General features: G+C 49.2%; 1 protein-coding gene across 1 annotated transcript in view, besides 4 other annotated features; it reads right to left on the reverse strand.

The window, feature by feature from the left end:
- The window catches only part of BMP7 (bone morphogenetic protein 7), a 97,889-nt gene that overhangs the window by 55,854 nt on the left and 18,122 nt on the right, over positions 1-23,913 (reverse strand). Inside the window, exon 2 of the mRNA NM_001719.3 lies at positions 3,623-3,815. Coding sequence (NP_001710.1) covers positions 3,623-3,815 — 193 coding nt within the window. The remainder of the gene's footprint in view (positions 1-3,622; positions 3,816-23,913) is intronic.
- Positions 1,479-1,979: an enhancer, noted in NCBI's record as "H3K4me1 hESC enhancer chr20:55801141-55801641 (GRCh37/hg19 assembly coordinates)". NCBI's record gives its function as "activates a minimal SCP1, AML or CMV promoter by ChIP-STARR-seq in primed H9 embryonic stem cells {active_cell/tissue: H9 hESC(primed)}" and the evidence as "EXISTENCE:reporter gene assay evidence [ECO:0000049][PMID:30033119]".
- Positions 7,162-7,695: an enhancer, noted in NCBI's record as "OCT4-NANOG hESC enhancer chr20:55806824-55807357 (GRCh37/hg19 assembly coordinates)". NCBI's record gives its function as "activates a minimal SCP1, AML or CMV promoter by ChIP-STARR-seq in naive and primed H9 embryonic stem cells {active_cell/tissue: H9 hESC(naive and primed)}" and the evidence as "EXISTENCE:reporter gene assay evidence [ECO:0000049][PMID:30033119]".
- Positions 7,696-8,228: an enhancer, noted in NCBI's record as "OCT4-NANOG hESC enhancer chr20:55807358-55807890 (GRCh37/hg19 assembly coordinates)". NCBI's record gives its function as "activates a minimal SCP1, AML or CMV promoter by ChIP-STARR-seq in naive and primed H9 embryonic stem cells {active_cell/tissue: H9 hESC(naive and primed)}" and the evidence as "EXISTENCE:reporter gene assay evidence [ECO:0000049][PMID:30033119]".
- Positions 19,570-20,494: an enhancer, noted in NCBI's record as "H3K4me1 hESC enhancer chr20:55819232-55820156 (GRCh37/hg19 assembly coordinates)". NCBI's record gives its function as "activates a minimal SCP1, AML or CMV promoter by ChIP-STARR-seq in primed H9 embryonic stem cells {active_cell/tissue: H9 hESC(primed)}" and the evidence as "EXISTENCE:reporter gene assay evidence [ECO:0000049][PMID:30033119]".

The following is a 23,913-nucleotide window of genomic DNA, read 5'->3' on the forward strand; positions in this document are numbered from 1 at the left end:
GACAGGAGCAAGTCCAGCTCCTGGAAGCCAGGCCCCAGCTGGCCTGGCCTCAGGCCTGGGGTTCAGAAAATGAGGATAAGACTCCGATCCTTTCGCAGCCCCCTCTCACCCCAGCAAGGCCTCTGGAGCCAAGGCCACTGTCCCCAGACCTGCCTCTGAGCCCCCACTCGCTCCACAGCCCGCCAAGGGCGGCTCCAACATGTCTTTCCAGCTGTCTGGGGCCGCGCTTTAAGCAGAGCCGCAGGGCTATGGAAGGCCTCCAGCTCGGCTCATTATCGGAATTTAATCTGGATTCCGAGAGATCAAGAGGAGTCAGTGGAAAGTGACTCCCACAAGGGGAGAGACGCTGAGGCTGACCCAAAGCCGGCTAATCCTCGGCACCCCCGGGGCTTTCCTGGAGCTCAGGCACAGCTCGTCAGATGTCCCAGCCCTGCACAGCTGGGCAGCTGGCGGCACAGAGACAGAGGCAGCCACATGGCGGGGACAGCAGGGCAGGCTCTGGGCTCCCCCGGGCTGAGGTCTGCAGGAGGCCTTCAGCTGGAAGAAGCTGTGCGGGCCCAGGTTGGGGACATGCAACCAGGTTGGGGACATGCAAAGAAAAAGCCTATCTCTGAACAGGCGAGCTGGAGGAAGCGTGGGGGATTTGAAGAGCATTTGCAAGCTCAGGGCTTTGTTCCTACTGGAAGATTGCAGAATTAGGGGAATTGGCTCGGTGGACCTACATGGGAAGGCAGTGCCACAGCCACCACCCAGGGCTCTTGTCTTCCTAAAGAGGTCTTGCTCCACTTCCTGCTGTGATGATGATGATACTAACGCAGGTGACCATTTATTGAGCACTTCCTGTGTGTAAGACACTGTTGTAAGTATGTCACCCCCTTTCATCCACAGCACAACTCTGGGAGGGAGATTCAATTATTATCCCCATTTTACAGAGGGAAAAACTGAGGCTCTGAGAGATGACTCTTTCCCAAGGCCACATGGGTAGCTGGTGGCAGGATTTGAATCCATGCTCTTAATAGCTGGGGAATTACATCATAGGGGCATCTTGGTTCTAGGTTGAAAAACAAAACAACCTGTCCAGAAAAATGAATAAATAATATATTTTTTAAATTTAACCATTTAACTTCTGAAGAATGGAGGCTTTGCTGCAGGAGGCACAGGAAGAACATGTAGAAACCTAAAGAAAGCAGCTCCGTCTTGCCCTCCACTGCTTCTCACCCTATTCCCTTCCTTGCTCAATGCTCCCACCTGCCATGTCCTCTCCTCTGCTGGAACGTGAGCTTCCAGAGGGCAGGGACTCGTGTCTGGTTCGTTCTGGTCGATGCCCTCAGGCATGGCATGCAGCAGGTACCTGTGCTGAGGAGGGACTCAGTCACTCAGCAGCCCAGAAGCCCCCAGGAGCAGGACCCCAGCACTAGAATGGGCACCCCCAGCCCAAGTTGCCTGTTGCCGGCAGCCTGGCAGGGAGGACGCCTGGAACGCCCATCCCTCCTCCAAACACAGTGCTCAGGCCTGCTGCCCAACCCTGCAGCCCTCAGGATCCACCCCATGGATCTCAGGCAAGACAGCAGAGGCACCACAGACCATGATGGGACCAGGTGCCCACAAAGCCAGCAGGAAGGACCAAGAGCTGCCGGAGCTGAGTGGAGAATCCAGATAACAGCCTGGACACAGAGGCTGTGGTTTCATCCTAAGCAAGAAGCTCCCTGGCTGCTGGGAGTAGATGTCGATGTCACCTCCCAGGAGAGCTGCTCAGCAGTGTCTACCAAAGCCACCCATGTGTGGGCCCTCTGACCCCACAATTCTATCTCTAGAACTTTATCTGACTGATAGACATGAACACGTATGTCAGCGAGGGTACTTGCCCTGCGGCACCATCCATCATAGAACAGAGGAGCCAGCGTGCACACGTGAAACACAGCACAACCCAAGCCGTGGAACAGTGAGGTGACTCAGAGGATGAGGGCACCCCGTGTGAACCCCTGGAAAGGGCTGCCAAGGTTCATCATCCAACGATGAAAGCCAGAGGCAGGAGTGAGTGCACTGTGGGGTTCCACAGGTGAAAACAGCAACACAGATTCCTTCGCTGATTTCAGGAGACTCAAGAAACTGGCATCAGGGACCACCTCAGCAGGGGCTGGAAGCCTTCATTTTCACTGTGGTTCCTCTTCTTTCCTTTTGATTTTATACCATGAACATGTCTTGCCTACTCAAAAACTTTTTTTTTTTTTTTTTTTTGAGAAAGAGTCTCACTCTGTCACCCAGGCTGGAGTGCGGTGGCACCATCTCGGCTCACTGCAACCTTCTCCTCCTGGGTTCAAGCAATTCTCCTGCCTCAGCCTCCCAAGTAGCTGGGATTACAGGCGCCCGCCACCATGCCTGGCTAATTTTTCTATTTTTAGTAGAGACGGGGTTTCACCGTGTTGGCCAGGCTGGTCTCAAACTCCTGACCTCAAATGATCCACCTGCCTTGGCCTTCCAAAGTGCTGGGATTACAGGCGTGAGCTACCACACCCGGCCTAAAAACAAATTTTGGAAAGAAATATCTTTCATAAGCATGGGCTCCAGCTTTGCAAACCTGGGCTCACGTCCTAATGTGGCCACATTCTCTCTGGGTAGCCTCATTCTTTGGCTTCAGGTCACTTTAGTTCTCCTCATTTTACAGATAAGCCACCACTTCTGAAGGCTACTGTGAATATGAAACAAGATATCAAGTGCAAAACACTCTGGAAACGCTCAAGAACAGTTTTGTTTTCTTGGTACTTAGATGACCATCCCCACCCCCACCCCCCACCAGCACCAAATAGCAGTGCTTGGCAAACGTAGCTGTGATGGTTCTTCTGTCCCTGTCTATGGTAACAAGTCCCCTTTCTAGCTGAAGATGCTAAGCCTGCACATCACAAGGAGGTGCCCACACCACCTTTCTTCCATCAATTTCCCTGCCCAGTGGGGACGGTAGATGTCTGACAGCCTGCGGGGTCCAGCAACCCAGCCACTGAGTAATAGGACCTTGGTCATTTCTGCCTCGGGACTGTCTGAATAGAATGCACCTGCTAAATGTCCCAGCCCTTTTTCTTAGCCTCCTTACCTCTCACAAGACCTTGAAATTAATGGATCTCGATAAATTAAAGACTTTCAACACAAACGTTTGGTTTCTGACCTAGTGATTCTTGGAAGGCTAAGAGTTCTCTGTTTTTTTTGGTTTGGGTTTTTTTCTTCCCCTAACATTTTATTTTAGATGGCCACCTTAATTGGTTGCCTGACATCGTGCACTGGGTTTCAGAGTGAGAAACGGGAGAGAGGTAGCCCTTCAAAAATGTTTCTTCCCCTTCCCCTTTTCTTCTATGTCCCTTAGCACCCAGCCAGATCTAGACTGCCTATAAAAACCCACAAGGCACCACGCATCCCTGGGCTCCCTGGCCTTCTACTATTCCTGAATTTGTTGTCGGTCATGGTTTTAAGGAAGTGACATACACCATACACCTTCTTTAGAAGGGATAATCTGGTACAGGGCCTGGCACGTGGTTGTGCCAATCTGACCCATCCTCTGGCCCTCACCACCTTCTTCCTCTGCCCCCAGAGGAAACTCAGCACCTCTCCCAGATACCCGTATAGCACCCACCTGCCCAAGTGCTCCTGGAGCACCTGATAAACGCTGATCCGGAACGTCTCATTGTCGAAGCGTTCCCGGATGTAGTCCTTGTAGATCCGGAATTCGGCTGCCGTGACAGCTTCCCCTTCTGGGATCTTGGAAAGATCAAACCGGAACTCTCGATGGTGGTAGCGTGGGTGGAAGAATTCCTTGTCATGTTCCACTGGAAGAGGAAGAGAACACACACCAACACCGACAGCTCATTAGTGTCTGGGTTTCACTCTCTGGCTCTGAGTCCAAGCATCTTGCCTAAGCTAGATGGAGGCATGCCCATTGCCAGTGACCCCAGTGACAACTGCTCCTTCCTCACCAACACACTGTAGACTGGAGGGTCACAGGCTCAGACCCCATGGTCCCCATGGTCATCCTGAACGACAAGAGCATGATTCTGCATCCAACCTGCTGGGAAAAGTAGGGCACTAACCACAGCCATCCAAGAGGTCCTGGCCAGACTCAGGTCCCAGGGGCTCAGGCCTGGGTTGGAATCTGGCCTCAGCCACTAACCAACAGAGTGGCCCTAGATAAGGTAACAGAAAACCTCTATGGAACCCAATTTCATCATCTAAAAAATGGGGATTGTAATCCTCCTTCATGGGTTATGGTCAGGGTTGAATGATCTCATTCACACAAATAGTTTAACATCTGCTAGGGTTGGATAACTGTTAGCTATTGTTGGTAAGCATAAACCTTACTGTGCCTAGTATGAGACATCTCTAGGACCAGGGGTTCTCAGCCCTGAATGCACATGAAAATCACTGTGGAAACTTTTAGAAAATACTGATGTCCTGGCCCAAGTCTGGGATGGTAAACATTTAACAATTGGCTCTCAGGGACCTGATCTGAAGCGCCTGCTGACTACACCGTGTAAATACTGCCATCTTGGCAGATTTCAAGCTACCAACGTGAGGCTGCTGGACATGGGAAGAGAAGCACACAGTAGGCTCCAGCACACAGCTACTCCGACCCCCTCCTGAACCAAGGGAATCCATATCTCTTTAAAGCACCCCCAGATATTTCTAATGAGGTGCCAAGGTTTACAGTCACAGCAGTAGACTAACAGCACTAAAAGGAGTGAATGGCAGAGTTGGGGTGGAGGTTGAACGTGACTCAGGACAAAATAAGGCAAAAGGCCTCCACCTTTCTCCCTTCTCCTGGCAGCGGTATTAGACTAAGATGTCATGTCCATTTCATAGATGATAAGCACCAAGATGAAAGCCCAGGAATGGTGTTTCTGGGTGGGGACCTGTGGCTCCTGTGGATCATGCCCCCTCTGGACCAACATGGAGCAGGAATGACAATGGGAGCCACAGAGTGCTGGAAGGGGCAGAATGACCACACTCAGGCCAGTGAGAAGAACCTCCAGACACCTTTCATCTGCAGGAAAATACAAGCCCATCTCCACTTCCTGTCTGGGGGTGGGGAACTGGAGAGAGAGGGAGAAAGAGCAGAACCAGTTTGGCCAGCAGATTGGTCAGAAGAAAGGAGAAATACGATCAGCAATCTTCAGCTCTCAGGCTGGGTTATGGCTGCCCGGTTCCAAGTGGGACAGCAGGACGGGAACACCATTGAGGAAGAAGTTCACAGCACTGGCAGCCCCAAGACCCTGGCTGCGCAGCTCCATTAAAAACAATCTGGTTTAAACCTTAACAACAGTCCAAAAAGAGAGCAGGGTGAGGGCAGGAAGCATGGGGGAATTACCCGCTCAGGCTGTTCCCTCTCAGGAAGAAGGGGCAGATGAAGTCCCTGAGGCTGGGGTCTCTGGCTGGGCACAGGAGCATCCCTGTCTTTGGAGAGACCTCGGGAAGATGACCTTTGAACCACAGCTGCTAGAATCCTGGGCCATATATGGAGAGCTGGCGGGAGGGAAGGACTCTCCAGAAACCGTTCCGGGGTCCTTCCAGATGACAGCTCTGCTTGTCACAACACGCCCCTCACGCCCACAAGGAACCCTTCTCTCCTGACCCAATCTATGGGACAGGCCAGATGAATGGGAGAGAAGGCCATGGGGATGTCACCAATCTGCTTTGATTTACAGAGAAGGTAGGAGTCTCCGTAAAGGGCAGCCACTTGGGAACCAAGTGAGCCTCGGGAGGTGACCCCAGGTGGGAAGGCGGGGCAAAGGGCCTGACTGTGTCACCGTGGGACTGCCCCCGGCCAGTCCTCTGTCACCTTTCCAGCTCAGTCAACCCTCATGCCAGCCCCAAAAGGTGAGCAGCCCGAGGAAGTGAGTACAATCCCGCATAGGTAGGTGAGGCATGCACCTGAGACCCAGGAGGTGTCCAGTGACCTCCCCAGGGCCAAAGACCTGGGATTCAAGCCCAGGTCCTGCCCAAACCAGAGGCCTGAACCACCATGCATCTCTGTGGCTGCGTGAACAGCTGAAGAGCTCAACAAGGGCCGTTCCTCTGCTTGTTTGTAGAACTTTTTTTTTTTTTTGAGACAGAGTCTCGCTCTGTCACCCAGGCTGGAGTGCAGTGGCGCGATCTCGGCTTACTACAAGCTCCGCCTCCCAGGCCCACACCATTCTCCTGCCTCAGCCTCCCAAGTGGCTGGGACTACAGGCTCCCGTCACCATGCTCGGCTAATTTTTTGTATTTTTAGTAGAGATGGGATTTTCACCATGTTAGCCAGGATGGTCTCAATCTCCTGACCTCGTGATCCACCTGCCTCGGCCTCACAAAGTGCTGGGATTACAGGCGTGAGCCACCACGCCTGGCCGTTTGCCAGAACTTTTTAACTGCACTGTTGTATACGTGTAGCGTGTGTGTAAACCAAAGTAAACCCAGTCACGGAGATTCCTCCAGGTCAAGAGACAGAACATTACCAACCCCCTTTCCCACCCTGGACTTCTCAAACTATAGGTTAGCTTCGCCTGTTTTTGAACAGTCGCTGCAGGGCCTCATACACTATATCATCTTTCGTATCTGGCTTCTTCCATTTCACAGTGCTTGTGTAATTCATCCACGTCACCGTGCATGTTCATTCATCCTCATTGTCATATGATAGTCCATCGTTGTATTAGACCGCAATCCATGTATCCATTCTACAGTTCATAGGCGTTCAGGGAGTTTCCAGATTGGGGCTCTGAAAGCAGTGCTGCTATGAACATCACAGGACACGTGTTTCATGCCTAGAAGTGGCATTGTGCATTGCAGCTTTAATCACCCTGGAAGCTGTTCTCCCAAAGCATTGCATCTGAGAGGTTTTCATGAGTATGCTAGGAGAGAGGTGGAAGAGACCAGGTCTGCCCCCTGAAGGAGGTGGCACAGTCTTGGGACAACTCATGGCTTCTCGAGTGCTTTTCTCCAGGGGACCAGGAGCGGTGAAGCACAGATGAAGTCCTGTTCCAACCATCTCTGTTCTCCACTGCAGCACAGCCAGACCTCCAAAGACCAGGAAGAGCCCTTGAGTCGTGCCATGATTCAACTTTCAGCAGAGAGGGTTGCTCCCACAATCATGCACAGGTGCAAAGTCCAATGCCTTGAACACAGTGGCTCCCCGCAAACCTCAGTTCCCTGCTCCCAGTGCTGGATGAACCCAGCTTCAGAGCAGCCCCACTGGCAGATACGCAATCAGCCTGAGCAGAGAAAGGGGCTGGGGAACATCTGAGGATGTACAACTAAGGATGGCTGAAGAGCCCGGAAGTACAAAGCACATGTTTGCTGAGTGCTAACTCTGTGAGTCCTGCACTGAGCAAGCACTCTTTGCCATCATCTGATGGAACCCCATGAGACAGGACTGATCCCCATTTTACAGATGAGGACACTGAGGCTCAGGGAGGCCGGGTAACTTTCAAAGGTCACAAATCAGGTGAGCGGCTGAACTCCAAAGCTCACCCTCTTGACCTTCACACTCTCTAGAGCCAGGTGGCCTGAGTTTGATCTTGGCTGTGCCACTTACCAGCTGTGTGACCTTCCCCAATCTACTTAATCCCTGTGTGTTCCCCTCCCCCTGGAGATAGTAACAATGGCCCTTTCTCATGGAGTTGTTGGGAAGATTACAGAAGCCATTTGCTGACAGGAGAAAGCCACAGGTGAGCCATTTGAGTCTGCCATTGTTACAGGGCCTCTAAAACAATGAGCCAGAAGAATGACAATCAATGCAGAAGAAGCAACATGTGCTGTGGGCATTTACACAGTGCACTTATGATTACATTTGAAAAAAAAAGTGCAATAGACCGAACAATAAAGATACGTTTGAATAAGCATGACATAAACACAGGTACAATCATTAGAGTCATGCCCAATGAAGAAAGAAAACACTGACACATAATCACAAACACAAGGTTTGTTACAACAGCTGCAGGTACAACTGTTTTTAATATAGAAGATGAACTGTATCTTAACTGTTAAGGTATCAGAGTTACAAGGTTCTTTTCTAAAAAGAAACTCAGGGATAAAGTGAGGAACTAAATTTCTTGCAAACATTTGTGGGCTCTTTGGTATGGCTTTCTGAGAGGATTTCCTTCATTAATTAGTTGGAGACTATGAGAAGCAGGAACGACAATGTTACTCTATTCTCCCTGAAACCCACATTGTCACATGTTCTGAAAATAATTTTGTATCCATTATCAAAGAAAGAACAGTCATGAAGTACACACACACACACACACACACACACACACACACACACACACACACAAATAAGCAGTGGATAATTCAAAGTCCAAACCAACTTCCAAATCTCATCTTTCCAAGGTTTCCCTTTTCTATGGAAGCCACTCCACAGTGTGAAATCTACACCATTTCAACTCAAGTATCAAGATAATTGAATTGTTACCACTACAAGAGGTAGAAGCTTGCATGTATTTTTCAGGTGAAAATATGTCTTTATACTTTCTTCTAAAGTTACTGTATATAGTTGATTACCCAAGACTTGAGTTTTAAACTAAATGTCTAGAGTTGACATCTCCCCATGCCCACAGAGAAAAGCTTCCTAAGGAAGCCCAGAGCCTAGGATTCCAGCTTTTCCTCCCTCTACCTCCAGTTACATCCCAGCACCCCAAGGGCTGAGAGAGCTTACAGGCATTAACAAAGGACTTTCATCTTCAAAAAATTAAAAGGGCCTAAATCCCCAAGACCAAAAGATAAGTCCAAAGAAAATGGATTCCAGAAAACACCATCCTGACAGCAAGCAGACCCATCACTGTCCCAAAGACAAGTCCAGTGTCTTCCTTTTACAAAAACCCGAAATAGCCCCAAAACCAGCCCTAAGAGGGGAAATTCTGGGCTGGAAGGTGTCAATAATGGGTTAGAGGCCAGGTAGGAACAAGAAGCTGCCCACCTGGGCGCCCCCCCTTCATGATCCTCTGCCATGCCAGGGAAGACTTCTGTCCCAGATGGGAGTCACACCTGCCCCCGGCATCACTCAGGAGTACCTTGCCTCTCCCTAACATCTGGGGTTCTTCCTCCCACCTACAGTTATGAGACATACTCAGGCAAACCCCTCACTAAGTTATAGTTGTCTGATACAAAGGGAGGGCCACAACCAAAGAAATTGGCAACCCACTCTGTAGACTTGCAAAGGGCAGCTGGTGCTTAAACAGAACCTGCAGTATTCAGAGCCGTGGGACAGTATTTAACACCCTAAAAATTAGGGGTATGAACCCAAATATATGCATATGTACAGTCGTACATCATAATGCACAAAACTAAACGAACACAATACATTGTTACAAACACGAGAAAACAGATACAGAAGATATATTTCTCCTGCTTCCTGAGGGATGATTTTGTGCTGGGCATAGCTCATCAGGATGAGCAAAGTTGGGGCATGGCTCATTACAATGCACAACTGTTAAGGAGCCTTGCCCATGTCCCCCCACCCCCACTCCCATCCCTCGTGTATCTGTCTCTCTTGGAGAGTCCATCATCACTGTCCCAGTTGAGCCATGGGACTCCAAGGGAGCCACCATCTTGTTCCATGACCCTCTTCTCCCCAGTTGAGGGATGGGAGGAAGCCAGCCTTAACCTTGGCCACACATAGGCCTTCTTTTATTTTTATTGGAACCTGGTATGAAAGAGCCCCTGTTCGCTCTCCCCGCCTTGATCTCTAAGGATGTAATCCAGTGCTCTGGGAAGCCCCTTGCCAGCACCTTGCAGGGAAGGCTGGTCTGTGAGAAAGAAGCTTCCAAGCACGGAGGACTGAGGTTGGAATTGAGGAGAGAGACCTGCTGGGTTGATCCCCTGGTCTGGTAGTCCCTGCCCTTCCTGAAGTTTGGGGTTTCAGCTCTTCCAATCTATGAGTTACGTTGAGATGCTTCAAAGAAGTCCCCTTTAAGCTAACTCTAGTCAGACTGCTGCCTGACTGCAACCAAGGCAGTTCTGAGCAAAACACACACAAGCCCAATTGTATACACACCCAGAAGTGGAAATGGATGGGCAGGAAACACTCCCAGTAGCTGTGTTCTCTCCAGATGACCATTCACCATGAAAACCGCTTTCTTCAGACTTGGATCATTCCCAAATGTAAGGCATCCCCCTTGACTGAGCTCTGTAAGAACAGGGCCCATGACTGTCTCAGCTCTGGATCGCATGCCCTCCACAGCCTGATGCTTAGCAGGGCCTCATAAATCTTCTGCATTGAACACATTACTCTTCACGCAATTCCTTTCTAGTTTAAGTAAACTACTTTGTTGATAACGTACACACAGTAAGGCACACAGACAAGCATTCACGAAGTGTGATGAATTTCCACAACGTGAATGCACCTAGGGCAGGACACAAAACATTTATTACCAGCTCCGAAGTCGTCCCGACAGGGGTCCCTCCCAAACACCAGTCCCTCCTCCCCTAAGGCTGACTGCCTTCCTAACACCCAATACCACGGACTGGCTCTGCCTCCATGAGACCTGACTATGGAATCACAGATGTGTTCTCTTCTGTGTCTGCAGCCTTCCACAGCCTCACTCATGTGGTTCTGTGTACCAGTGGTCCATGCATTCCCACTGCTGTCTAGAACCCTATCGTATGAATAGGACACAACTCATTTTTTTATAGTCATTTGGGGAGTTTCCAGTTTGAGCCATTGGAGAGTTTACAGTTTGAGACAAGCTGTGCTGCAATGCATACTCTTGTGCATGGCTTTTGGTGAACACGTGTCCACTGGGTAAATGTCTTGAAGCAGGATTTCTGGGTCAGAGGGTAGGCACGTTCAACTTTAGTTCCACATCTGACTGTTTCCATGTCAACAATTTTGGGGAAACAGGGTATGAGGCCAAAGGAGACACAGTCCCTAAAGAGATCATTCATTTTTGTTGACTTTGGCAAATCCCAGTGCCTGCGTTCAGGTACGAGGCAGCTCTGCAGGTGAGGGTTCTTCCAGGAGAGGTGCTGAATGGACTCTTAAGGAAGAACGGAGGCCCACTAGTCCCAGAGGACAAGGAAGGGCACTGTAGGCAGAGGCAACAGCATGATCGAGGGCTCGACAGACAAGAAACAGGGCATGCTGGGGAGTTTAGGTAAGAAGTTTGCTGAGAACGACAAGAAAAAAGCAACAAATTCCTCATTGGGAAAATGCTTGAATGTCAAGCTAAGGGGTTGATCATTGATGTCATCAACCATGATGGCTTGGTCCCTTGTTAGACACAAAGCAGTGCCCTGACCAGATCTATTTTAGATAGAGGACTGGTGACCCTGTGGAAAGTGGATTATAGGGAGTGAGGACAGAGGCAGGGAGTGAGGACAGAGGCAGGGAGTGAGGACAGAGGCAGGGAGCTCAGAGGAGGCTCTGATCAGAGATGATGCATACCCAGTACATGCACCCTCCTCCTCCCTCCTGGCACCCGAGGTAGGCATCACTAAACAATGGCAACACTCCTTTCTTAATTCTGGCACCCAGGCAGCCACTATCAATCTTGACTGGCTCAAGAGAAAAGATGTCAGCATTTTCCATCTCTTGTCAGGACCCCAGAAGTGTAATGGACCAGAAGTGCTTCTCTAGGGGAAGGAACAAGACAATTGATTAAAAGCAAGCATATGAAGAGGGGGAACTAGAGGATGCTGCCCACTGCCGGCCTGGAATGCCAGGAGGGCGATAACACCATCAGTAGATATCAACACAGGAGAGAGCGCTCAGGAGGTGAAGTGGTAGGGAAGAAACACGTGTGGCTGCAGACAGGTGAAACTTGAGATGACCTGCAGAATGTTCAACTGGACAGTTGGAAAAAGAGGTTTAGATAACCCTGGCAAGAATGCTCAAGCTGGGAGCTGTTGAATTGGGTTTATGGATAAAGTTATGCACGAAAAATGCATTTATGATGAGAAAGACTAGCATGGCCTTGGATCAATATTTGGGGCTACCTGGGAGGGGGAGAACGATGCCACCAGAAGGACTTGGTCCAAAGGAAGGGAAGGACCAGAGGACTGGCAGGGCAAGATGGCGCAACAGTGGCCAGATTCAGAGAAAGGGGGCAGGGAGACCCCTCTTCCAGGGACCATTCACTGGATTTGGTCACTGGTTGCTCAGAGACCTCAGGAAGCAGCTCTCATGGGGACAGCCATGCATAAAAAAAAAAAAAACACCTGACGAGCAAGACTGTGGCCAGTTGCACATGAAAGATATTTGTATCCATGAAAAGGGGAACCGTCAGCCCAGGCAAAGCCGCCTTCATTTCCTCCTGAAGACGTTCTCCCAGCCAGGGCTGGAAAGAGTTGATAAATGGATAGTAAATAATCACCCAGCAGCTCCTTCCAAAACTTTATGGTCTTCAGAAAAAATTTGGTTAACCTTCCAGACTATGCGGCCCTCTCACTGCCCCCAAAGATGCCGCTAAACTATGAGGCAGGAACAAATATTTTATGAGCAAAGGGATGCTTTCCAGGCAAAAACCACAAGTCCAGCATTAGAATTCCATGTTCCTCACTCAGAGTCTGGTTTCTGTGAGCACAGACTAGTCCAAAGCATTCTTCAGCTCCAGTTAGGGGCCGGGGACAGACCCCCACACCCCACTTTAATGAGGATGAAGCTCAAGGGGCTAAAAGAACTAATCGAAGTCCACATTATAACCAGAAGTCAGAACTGGGTTTTCACAGACCCGAGGACTGCTCAGGGCCCCATATCCCGGAACGTCCCCGGTACCCATTTAACTCTGAAACTACCAACCCTGGCTCGCTCTTTCCCTGGAGGGCTACAGCTCATCTGGAAGGTTCTGGCACACACCAGAACTCACTGGAGCTGACTTATCCCGGCTGCTGTTAGGAGGCAGTTTACGACCCACAGTTTCAGGGATGTGAAATTTGATGATGGCTCTTCATTCATTCATTCAAAGATTTACATGGCAAGATTAAGGAGCTTGAAAAAGCCGCCAGAGGCATGCAATAAATTGGGAATTCTGGAAAGTGGAACAGACATACCTGACTACTCTAACAGGAAAATGTTCTCTTAATAACATGAGCAGCCTGGAGAGGCCACACTGACACACACAGCTCTTGGGAGAAGGGAGGAGAATGCTCTATGCCCAGAGAAACAGAACATCGCCTAGAAGTTGACAATGATACACATTGTTCAGATAACACCTCCACTGTACTCATTCAACAAGGACTTTCTGGCTGCCCCAGCATGGACGTGAGAGCCGTCAGTTGTACTGTAGAAGAGTAGTTCATAGAAGCTCACTTAGATTGCAGCCCTGACAACCTATGGAACACCTAAGCCAGGTAAACAGCCACCATTTTTTAAAACTTTTATTTTTAATTGTGGTAAAATACACAGAATATACAATTTAACATCCTAACCACTTTTACGTGTACAGTTCAGTCATTTTAAACACACGGGATACCATTCTTGCACATCCAGTCTCCAGGACTTTTTTCATCTTGCAACGCCAAAACTCTGTCCCCATTAAACACTAACTCCCCTTTCTTCCTCCCTCCTCCAGCTCCAGGCACCCACCCTTCTACTTTCTGTCTCTATGAATCTGACTGCTTTGGGCAACACCTATAAATGGAATCACACAGTATTTGTCCTTTTGTGACCGGCTTATTTCACTTAACAAAATGTCTTCAAGTTTCATCCGTGCTGTAGCCTGTCAGAATGTCCTTCCTTTTTAAGGCTGAATAATATTCCACTGTATGGATGGGCCACATTTTGTTTATTCATCCCTGAATGGTATGCAGCTTCCACATTTTTGTGATTGCGAGTAATGCTGCTGTGACTATGGGTGTGCAAATATCTCTTGGAGATCCTGCTTTCAAATCTTTCAGGGACATACCCAGAAATGAAATCGCTGTGTCACATTGTAGCTCTATTTTCAATATTTTTGAGGAAGCACCATTCTGTTTTCCATAGTGGCTACAGCATTTTACCTTCCCGCCGGCAGTCGGGAAGGGTTCCAATTTCTCCACATGTCCACCACCATTGTGATTTTCTGTTCTGTTTTGTTTTGTTTGATGGTGACTGTATTAGTCTGTTTTCATGCTGCTGACAAAGACATACCCGAGACCAGGAAAAAAAAAAAGAGGTTAAATTGGACTTGCAGCTCCACATGGCTGGGGAGGCCTCAGAATCATGGCGGGAGGCAAAAGGCACTTCTTACATGGCAGCAGCAAGAGAAAATGGGGAAGAAGCAAAGCTGAAACCCCTGATAAACCCATCAGATCTTGTGAGATTCACTATCATGAGAATAGCACAGGAAAGACCTACCCCCATGATTCAATTACCTCCCCCGAGTCCCTCCCACAACACATGGGCATTCTGGGAGATACAATTCAAGTTGAGATTTGGTGGGGACACAGCCAAACCCATTTCACCCCTGGCCCCTCCAAATCTCATATCCTCACATTTCAAAGCCACCTATGCCTTCCCAATAGTCCCCCAAATTCTTAACTCATTTCAGCATTAACTCAAAAGTCCACAGTCCAAAGTCTCATCTGAGACAAAGCAAGTCCCTTCTGCCTATGAGCCTCTAAAACCAAAAGCAAGCTAGTTACTTCCTAGATACAATGGAGGTACAGGTATCAGGTAAATACGGCCATTCCAAATGGGAGAAATTGGCCAAAATAAAGGGGTTACAGGGCCCATGCAAGTTCGAAATTCAGCAGGGCTCTCAAACTTTAAAGCTCCAAAATGATCTCCTTTGACTCCAGGTCTCACATCCAGGCCACACTGATGCAAGAGGTGGCTTCCCATGGTCTTAGGCAGCTCCACCCCTGTGGCTTTGCAGGGTACGGCCTCCCTCCCAGCTGCTTTCATGGGCTGGCATTGAACGTTGAGTGACCATGGCTTTTCCAGGCACACGGTTCAAGCTGTTGGATCTACCATTCTGGGGTCTGGAGGACAGTGGCCCTCTTCTCACAGCTCCACTATGCTGCACCCCACTAGGGACTCTGTGTGGGAGTCCCAATTCCACATTTCCCTTCCCCACTGCCCTAGCGGAGGTTCTCCATGAGGGACCCACTCCTGCAGCAAACTTTTGCCTGGGCATCCAGGCATTTCCATACATTTTCTGAAATCTAGGTGCAGATTCCCAAACCTCAATTCTTGACTTCTGTGCACCCACAGGCTCAACACCACATGGAAGCTGCCAAGGCTTGGGGCTTCTACCCTCTGAAATCACAGCCCAAGCTGTACATTGACCCCTTTCAGCCATGGCTTGAGTGGCTGGGACACAGGCCACCAAGTCCCTAGGGTGCACACAGCAGGGGGACCCAGAGACTGGCCCATGAAACCACTTTTTCCTCCTGGGCCTCCAGGCCTGTGATGGGAGGGGCTGCCATGAAGGTCTCTGACATGGCCTGGAGACATTCTCCCCATGGTCTTGAGGATTAACATTAGGCTTCTTGCTACTTATGCAAATTTCTGTAGCCAGCTTGAATTTCTCCCCAGAAAATGGATTCTTCTTTTCTATCGCATAGCCAGGCTGCAAATTTTCTGAACTTTTATGCTTTGTTTCCCTTTTAAAAGTGAATGCCTTTAACACACCCAAGGCACCTCTTGAATGCTTTGCTGCTTAGAAATTTCTTCCACCAGATACCCTAAATCAGCTCTCTCAAATTCAAAGTTCCACAAATCTCTAGGGTGGGGAAAAAATGCCGTCAGGCTCTTTGCTAAAACATAACAAGAGTCACCTTTGCTCCAGTTCCCAACAAGTTCCTTATCTCTATCTGAGACCACTTCAGCCTGGATTTTATTGTCCATATCACTATCAGCGTTTTGGGCAAAGCCATTCAACAAGTCTCTGGGCAATTCCAAACTTTTCCACATTTTCCTATCTTCTTCTGAGTCTTCCAAACTGTTCCAATCTCTACCTGTTAGCCAGTTCCAAAGTCACTTCCACATTTTTGGGTATTTTCTCAGCAATGCCCCACTTTACTGGTACCAATTAATGTATTAGTCCATTTTCATGCTGCTGAAAAAGACATACCCGAGACTGGGAAGAAAAAGGTTTAATTGGACTTACAGTTCCACATGGCTGGAGAGGCCTCAGAATCATGGCAAGAGGTGAAAGGCACTTCTTACATGACAGCAGCAAGAGAAAATGAGGAAGATGCAAAAGTGGAAACCCCTGATCAAACCATCAGATCTTGTGAGAATTAGTCATTATCACCAAAACAGCATGGGAAAGACTGGACTCCATGATTCAATTACCTCCCCCTGGGTGCCTCCCACAACACGTGGGAATTCTGGGAGATACAATTCAAGTTGAGATTTGGTAGGGACACAGCCAAACCATATCAGTGACCATCCTGATGGCTGTGAGGTGGGCAGCCAGCATTTTAGAAGCCCTCCCACTGGCCTGGCTGCCACTTCACATGTATATATCATCTCACTGAATCCTTATGAAAACCCCTCTCAGAGGCAGGGGGACACATCGTGCTCACTTTCCAGATGAGGACACTGAGGCTCAGACTGACTCTTGCCCAGGGTCACACAGCTGATCTGAATCTTTAAAGGCCCGTACTCTTCCCCACTCAGCCATACCAACTCTCTTCCTCACATGGGAGCTGCCAGTGACCTCTTAGCTGTGGCAACGATTCAATAAGGACAGCTCTGAGCTGAACCATGCTCTGCTCTTGGCACACTCGATGCACTCGCCACATAAATCTCCAAAGCTAAACTCAAAGTGAAGGTTCTGCATCCGACTCAGCTCCCTCTCAGACTTGTAAATTTTGCTCCTGCCTAATGCCAGTCCTTGAGGGAGGGAGGCTGACAGCCTGAAGGTTTTGTAGCATTCACCCATCTCCTCATTACCCCTCCCCAGGCCCCCAGATTGGGGGGCAGGGCCCTGCCTGGCAAAGGGCACACAGGCAGCATTGTCTCCCCTGTTCCTGAACTGCTTCAACTCTCGAACTTTCCACCAAATGCTTCAGCTGCCAGCAATACCACCTGGAGTCCTACCCGCCTGGCTCTCCAAGAGGGTCTTTGGAGACACTGCCTCCTTGTTAGGTGCTGGGGGGCTGCGTCCAGAGACATGAGACCTGGAGGCGAGACCACAGGCAGGCATCTCCTTGGCCATCCTCTTGTCATGAGCCCTGAGCCTGCAGCCTGCACAGATGTTGGGGTAGGGGCCAGAGGGAATGATTGTACCACAAGATTAAACACTTCAATGTCAACATGTGTGCAGTGTTGCTTGAACAATGTTATCATTGTGAATTGAATGAACCAAAGGGTTTAGGGGATGGGGCAGGGAGAGGGAAAAAAGATGGGTTTAATTATCTCTAGAGCTGAGGCCAGTTCTTTGCCTAAAAAGACCCAGATGCCCGTAGAGCTGAAAAGAAAAATGGGCCGCAAGCACATGTTGCTCTTTCTACTATAGACCCAGACAGCCCCCTGGCCTACGGCTTCCCACCTCCCAGAGGGAGGAACGCAGTCTCCAGGGATGTCTGGGTTCCAACCCCATCCTCAGCTCATTGAAATTGAGGGAAAAGAACCAGTGATTCTCAGCCAGAGCTGACTTTGTCCTCCCCTCACTCCCATGAAGGCACCCTGGGCATTGTCTGGAGTCATTTTTGGTTGTCATAACTTAGGAGGGGGTGCTCCTGGCATGTACTGGGTACAGACCAGGGACACCGCTAAACATTTCACAATGCTCAGGATGGTCCCCCATCCAACCCCAAATGTGACTAGTGCTGAGTTGAGAGTCCTTGATCTGGACCGACAGACAGGCAGAGCTCAAGAGGGTCAAGAAACCTGGGGTTTGGCCTCATCTGAGCTGTGAGCTGGCTGGTATAACCCCAGGCTCACTGGGCCTCAGTTTCCTCCCATAACAAAGGAAAGGACTGAATTTCTCTGAAGTCCCTTTTCTCGCCTATTAGACTGTACCATGTAAAAAGCTGCTGATACTCTACCAGTTTTGACCTGTATGGGGTTCACCCTAACACCTCGGGGCAGCTTGGAGGCTCTATCTGTGCTGTCTGGTAAAGCACACTGAGACACGTGGGGCTACTGAGCACTTGAAATGTGGCTTCCGTGACTGAGATCTGAATGTTTAATTGTATTTCATTGTAATTAATTTAAATGTAAACAGCTGCCAGGCACAGTGGCTCATGCCTGTAATCCCAGCACTTTGGGAGGGCAAGGTGGGTGGATCACTTGAGGTCAGGAGTTTGAGACCAGCCTGGCCAATATGCTGAAACATCGTCTCTACTAAAAATACAAAAATTAGCCAGGCATGGTGGCACGTGCCTGTAATCCCAGATACTCGGGAGGCTGAGGCACAAGAATCACTTGAACCCAGGAGGCGGAGGTTGCAGTGAGCCAAGATGGTGCCACTGCTCTCCAGCCTGGGCAACAGAGCAAAAATTCCATCTCAAAAAATAAAATAAAATCTAAACAGCTGTATGTGGCTCATGGCCTTCCTAGTGGACAGCCCAGATCACAGGTGTCCCCATCATTGAAGAGGTGCTGTCGCCCACACTGCTTTGTAGCACCAAGGGTTTGCAGGGGGCCACTGCAAATGAGGGTCCCCGACTATGTTCTCAGAGATGTAGGAGAAAGTTTTTCTTTAAAACTGTGGGATTGGTGGCTCACGCCCATAATCCCAGCACTTTGGGAGGTCGAGGCAGGTGTATCACTTGAGTCCGGGAGACCAGCCTGGCTAATATGCCAAAACCCTGTCTCTACTAAAAATACAAAAATTAGCTAGGCGTGGTGGTGCATTCCTGTTCTCCCAGCTACTCAGGAGGCTGAGGCACAAGAATCGCTTGAACCCAGGAGGCAGAGGTTGCAGTGAGCTGAGATCGTACCACTGCACTCCTGGGTGACACAGCAAGACTCTGCCCTAAAAAAAAAATAATTAAAAAAATTAATGAAATGGCGTTCCCAGTGTGAGAAATTCAGGAATTTAACTCCTGACTTACGGGTTTGAGGCCTGGGATGGGGGCTGTTGAACAGGTACAAGGATCCTCACTCTGCTCATGGGGTCACCTAGGGAGCAAACACTCCCCACCAAGCACCTGGCGAGTGGTATCCTGCTGGTAATTGTTAGACGTGCCAAGTTCACGACCGCAGAGGCTTTGCTCCAGGCCTGCCCGGGCACCGCAGCCCCTCCCCACGGCTGAGTTGGTCTCACCCCCACTGACACTCTCCCTGGGCCTCCTTCCCTCTCAGCCCCTTTCATTTCCCTCCCATAGCCTAACTACTGGGATTATTTTGGTGAGAGACCTGCTGACCTGTTTCTCCACTGTCCTCTCTTCTAGATTTTAACTCCAGGAAAGTAAGAACTGAGCAAAGGAGCAGGACTCAGGAGGTTTCCAGAGCAGAGCCGGGCGAGAGGGCGAGTCTCGGCTCTGCCACTTGCTGGGGCGCGTCACTCCTCTTCTGTGAAATGCAGGTGTAGTAATAGCACTGACTCCACTGGGCTGCCAGTTAAAGCCCAGGAGTAAAGTAGACCAGGCATGCTCCACCTTCAGGATGCCCAGAGTCACACGCGAGCTTATTACAGCACAGGCCACTGGGCCCCACTTCCAGCATGTCTAAGGTGGGTGATCTAGGGTGGGCCCAAGAGCATGAATGTCTAACACATGCCCAGGTGATGGTGATAATGCAGGTCTAGAAACCCCACTTTGAGAACCAGAGGAAAGGAGAGTGTCCATGGAGTGCCTGGCACATGTAATAGTCTTGGAAGCTATTCGCTCTGATTGCTCTGTTGCTTAGCACTGTTCACACACCACCTCCCACGCTCACTTGCTGGGCACTCAGCAGCTTCTCCGGAGACTTAGTGAAGTGGGTTTTGAAACTCTCCCCGTGAGCAAATCAGGAGGAAGACACCGGCTCCTTAGCCTTACTCAGCCCAGGATGCAGGAGAGAACTGGGGTTGAGCGTGGGCCATGGGGCCTGGAGGTCTGGTTCACACGCAGGCTCTGCCAATCACCAGCAGTGACCCAGGACAAGTTAACCCACCTCTGGAAGGCTCAACTTTTTCTCTCTATAAAATGGGGACAGGCAGAGGCCCCCAGTTCTGGGGCTGTTGGGAGAATTCAAGGACATGGAGGCTGGCCACCAGGGAGGGCAGCAGAGACCTGTGCCTTGCCTGCTCCCAGCCAGGCCAGAGCAGGCCCCAAGAGCAGCCAGGTGGGGGAAGTGAAGCTGCCGTCCTCCCTCCCTTCCCCAGGACAGGAGGAGCCTGCTCAGACCTTCCCCCCAGAGCAGCCAGAGAGGCTTGGGTCAGCTGGGCAGACACAGCTGGTTTAAGGTATTTTAGAGGCAAATCAAATCAAATGAGAATTTATAATCCTTCCTGAGGCCTGGGTTCCATCAGCCTAAACTCATTAGGCCCAGGAGATGCAGGTGCAGTGAAGGAAAAGATGGTTCTGCCTTTCCTCCATGCCCAGCCCCTGTCTCCCTTTCAAAATAAGAGTCTTCTTTAAAGCCACACTCTGTCCCTGGACCACAGTAATCAGCTTCATTTCTGAAAACAGGAAGGTGCAGAGACGTACAAAAGCCGCCCCAGGGGCTGATGGGGCAGATTTGGTGGGAACTGGAAATCTTGAAGAGCCTCACTCATTTCAAGTTCACATTGTAAGAACTCAAACTTAAATCCCTAAGCTAAACGATCAAAACACCCTTCAAATTGCATGGTTGTCCTTTAAACCTCTTTCCGGTGTGGGAAGCAGGAGAATATGAGATCAAAACAAAAAAGTGGTGTTTTTTTTTAATTTTTATTTTTTATAGAGATAGGGTCTCACTCTGTCACTCCCAACTGGAGTGCAGTGATGTAATTACAGCTCACTGAAGCCTTGGACTCCTGAGCTCAAGTGATCCTCCTGCCTCAGCCTCCCAAAGTGCTGGAATTACAGGCATGAGGCACCCTACGGGGCCCAGAGAATGGTTTTTAAATTACATTTTGTATCCTATATGAAATGTAACTGGAAGAGTTGCAAACAGACTCCAAAAAGTTCTACTTGGGGTCTTCTTTCCAAATCATTGCTCCTGTGATTAGTGATTTTTTTTTTTTTTTTTTTTTGAGACAGAGTCTTGCTCTGTCACCCAGGCTGGAGTGCAGTGGCGTGATCTCGGTTCACTGCAACCTCCGCCTCCTGGGTTCACGCCATTCTCCTGCCTCAGCCTCCCGAGTATCTGCGATTACAGGCGCCCGCCACCACGCCCAGCTGATTTTTTGTATTTTTAGTGGAGATGGGGTTTCACCGTGTTAGCCAGGATGGTCTCGATCTCCTGACCTCATGATCTGCCCGCCTCAGCCTCCCAAAGTGCTGGGATTACAGGCGTCAGCCAGCATGCCCGGCCATGGTTAGTGATTTAACAGTATTATTGTACAATTAAATTTATATAAAGTTTAGAAACAGGCAAGGTTAATTTATGCTATTAGAAAACAGGACAATAGTTACCGCTGGGTACAAGTACGAGGGGGTTCTGGTCGCTTCTGCTTCTTGATCTACACACTGGTTACCCTGTGTGATTGCCTTGTAAACACTCACAAGTGCTCTTGATTTCTGTGCTGTTCTGCACACGTTACACCTCAATAAGCAGTTTCATTAAAACTCAATTAGCAGTTTTATTCATAATAAGTGTTGTTAGCTTTACCCATTGCCAGGTCTACTCAACACACGCTTGTCACCATACTAAGAGGCACAATCAATTCAACAGAAGCTCTTTGGGAAAATATACCAATATCTTAATCAATTTAAATACATCCTGGTTTTCAGAAACTTTGATAAGCAAAGATACAGGGCATTAGGCCTGACACACATAACTGTAAAACCCCTATGTGTCTTCCTCCTGCCCTCATGTGAGACTCTCCAATTAGCAATGCTGTTGACTGGCCTGCTCCAAACCTATCCTTCAGGCTTGAGAAGCAGTTCAGGATCAAGTGTAAGAGGGAAGTCTCCAGGAACTGGATCTCCAAATCCAATGATGCTTAACTGGGTATGTGGTCTTGGGCCAACTACCGCTCTCTGCTCATTTATCTGCTCTGTAAAATAGGGGTGATAATAACTGCCCCACCTGAAATGGCTGTCATGAAAATTAAATATGTTAATATTAACTAAAGAGGACAGGCTGGGTGCGGTGGCTCATGCCTGTAATCCCAGCACTTTGGGAGGCCGAGGTGGGCGGATCACCTGAGGTTGGGAGTTCAAGACCAGCCTGGTCAACACGGTGAAACTCCATCCCTACTAAAAGTACAAAAATTAGCCGGGCATGGTGGCACGTGCCTGTACTCCCAGCTACTCAGGAGGCTGAGGCAGGAGAATCACTTGAACCCAGAAGGCAGAAGTTGCAGTGAGCCAAGATTGTACCACTGCATTCCAGCCTGGGTGACAGAGCGAGACTCCATCTCAAAAAAAAACCAAAAGAGGACAAAGGGTGCTTGGCACATAGTAAGCCTTTGACAAATGTTCACTACTGGGATGATTATTACAATGGCTAACATAGCTGTAATCAGATAGTAGACACACCTCCACACCCCAGCCCAGGCACAAAGGGCCAGAGGCTGACTCCAGCAACTGTGTTGATGCAGCCTGGTCTACCCTCTAGACCCAACTGATTCATGAGTGAACATGTGATTCAAACTGCTTAAGAGCCTCCCCCCAACAATTGTAGTTGAATGTAGTAGTTCAAACATATGACTAAGAACCCCAATTTCTTCTGTCTTCTTTGCTCCATCATTGTCTGCATGTTGACTTAATTCTTAGGCCTCTTGTCCCACAGTCACAAGATGGCTGCTGTGGTTCCAAGCAACATGTCTTCACAAAACCACATTCAAGGCAAGACAATGGGGACGAGAACAGAGAGTTCCGTTTGCTCAGCAGCCATTTAATAGAAAGCAAAATATTTTTCAGAACCACCTCTCAGCTTCTCCCCTAATCATCTCCTCCAACCAACGGGCTTAAGGAGGCACCCAGACCCTATCACGTTAGTCTCCCACGGGAATAAGCAGAAGGCATATAGGTGCCCAGAACCCTTTACTAGAAAACATTTGATCAGGCTCCCAGTGTAAGCATGAGGTTCCACCATTCCACCAGGGCAGGCAGGCGTTTCTTTCAAGCAGCTCTCCACCCTTGGCTAACAAACACTGACACAGATTCTTAAAATGCTTTGAGTCTCTTGCTCTGTTCATCCTCCACTCAGGGGAAACAGGAGCCGCCTGTCCCACAAGCAGAACTCAAACCAAGCTCCACCCCAGCCTCTGCTTCCTCCCAGGGGACAATAATTCCTGACCTCCTCGGGTCATTTTCAAGAAATTTTGCCCCTATCTCAGGAGATCAGGAGGGTTATGTTAATAAAACAAAGCTTGTTTTCAGCAAACAACTGGCTGTTGGCTAGAGTTCTATATAGTCCTCAAAGTTAGAGCTAATGTACCTACCTGTAGGTAGGTTTGAGTTTAAAGAATAACTAAAATCTTTCTATGAGCTACAGAGGGTCTGGTTAAATTAATGTCAATGTGCAACCAACCTTCTGTATATATTCACAGTGGAACACTATCATCTGGAGGCTTTGGAAGCTTGCTTAGGGCCTCTATTTATATGTGCATACAGTGGAACCACATCACATGTACAAATAACTTTTGTAAATCTAACTGTATACAACACAGGAAACAACGACAAAGAGGGAGAGAGAAACCATTTCAATCATTTGAATGTGGCCACCCAACAACCACTGCCAACCCACTTTTCCCTCCCCTGCCTCCCACTGTGCTGGCCAGATGCCAGCTGCATACATTCACACCCTCCCTCGAAGTAACAAGACAGGGGCTTACACACAGTTTAGCCCAAGAGACAAGGAGAAGTCTTCCAAGGAACTTCTAGGAAACCAAGAGGTAGGCAGGCAGGCAAGGAGAGCTCTTTGTGCCATTCCCCATCCTCCTGCCT

The sequence above is a fragment of the Homo sapiens genome, chromosome 20 (assembly GCF_000001405.40).
Source record: "Homo sapiens chromosome 20, GRCh38.p14 Primary Assembly".
NCBI lineage: Eukaryota > Metazoa > Chordata > Mammalia > Primates > Hominidae > Homo > Homo sapiens.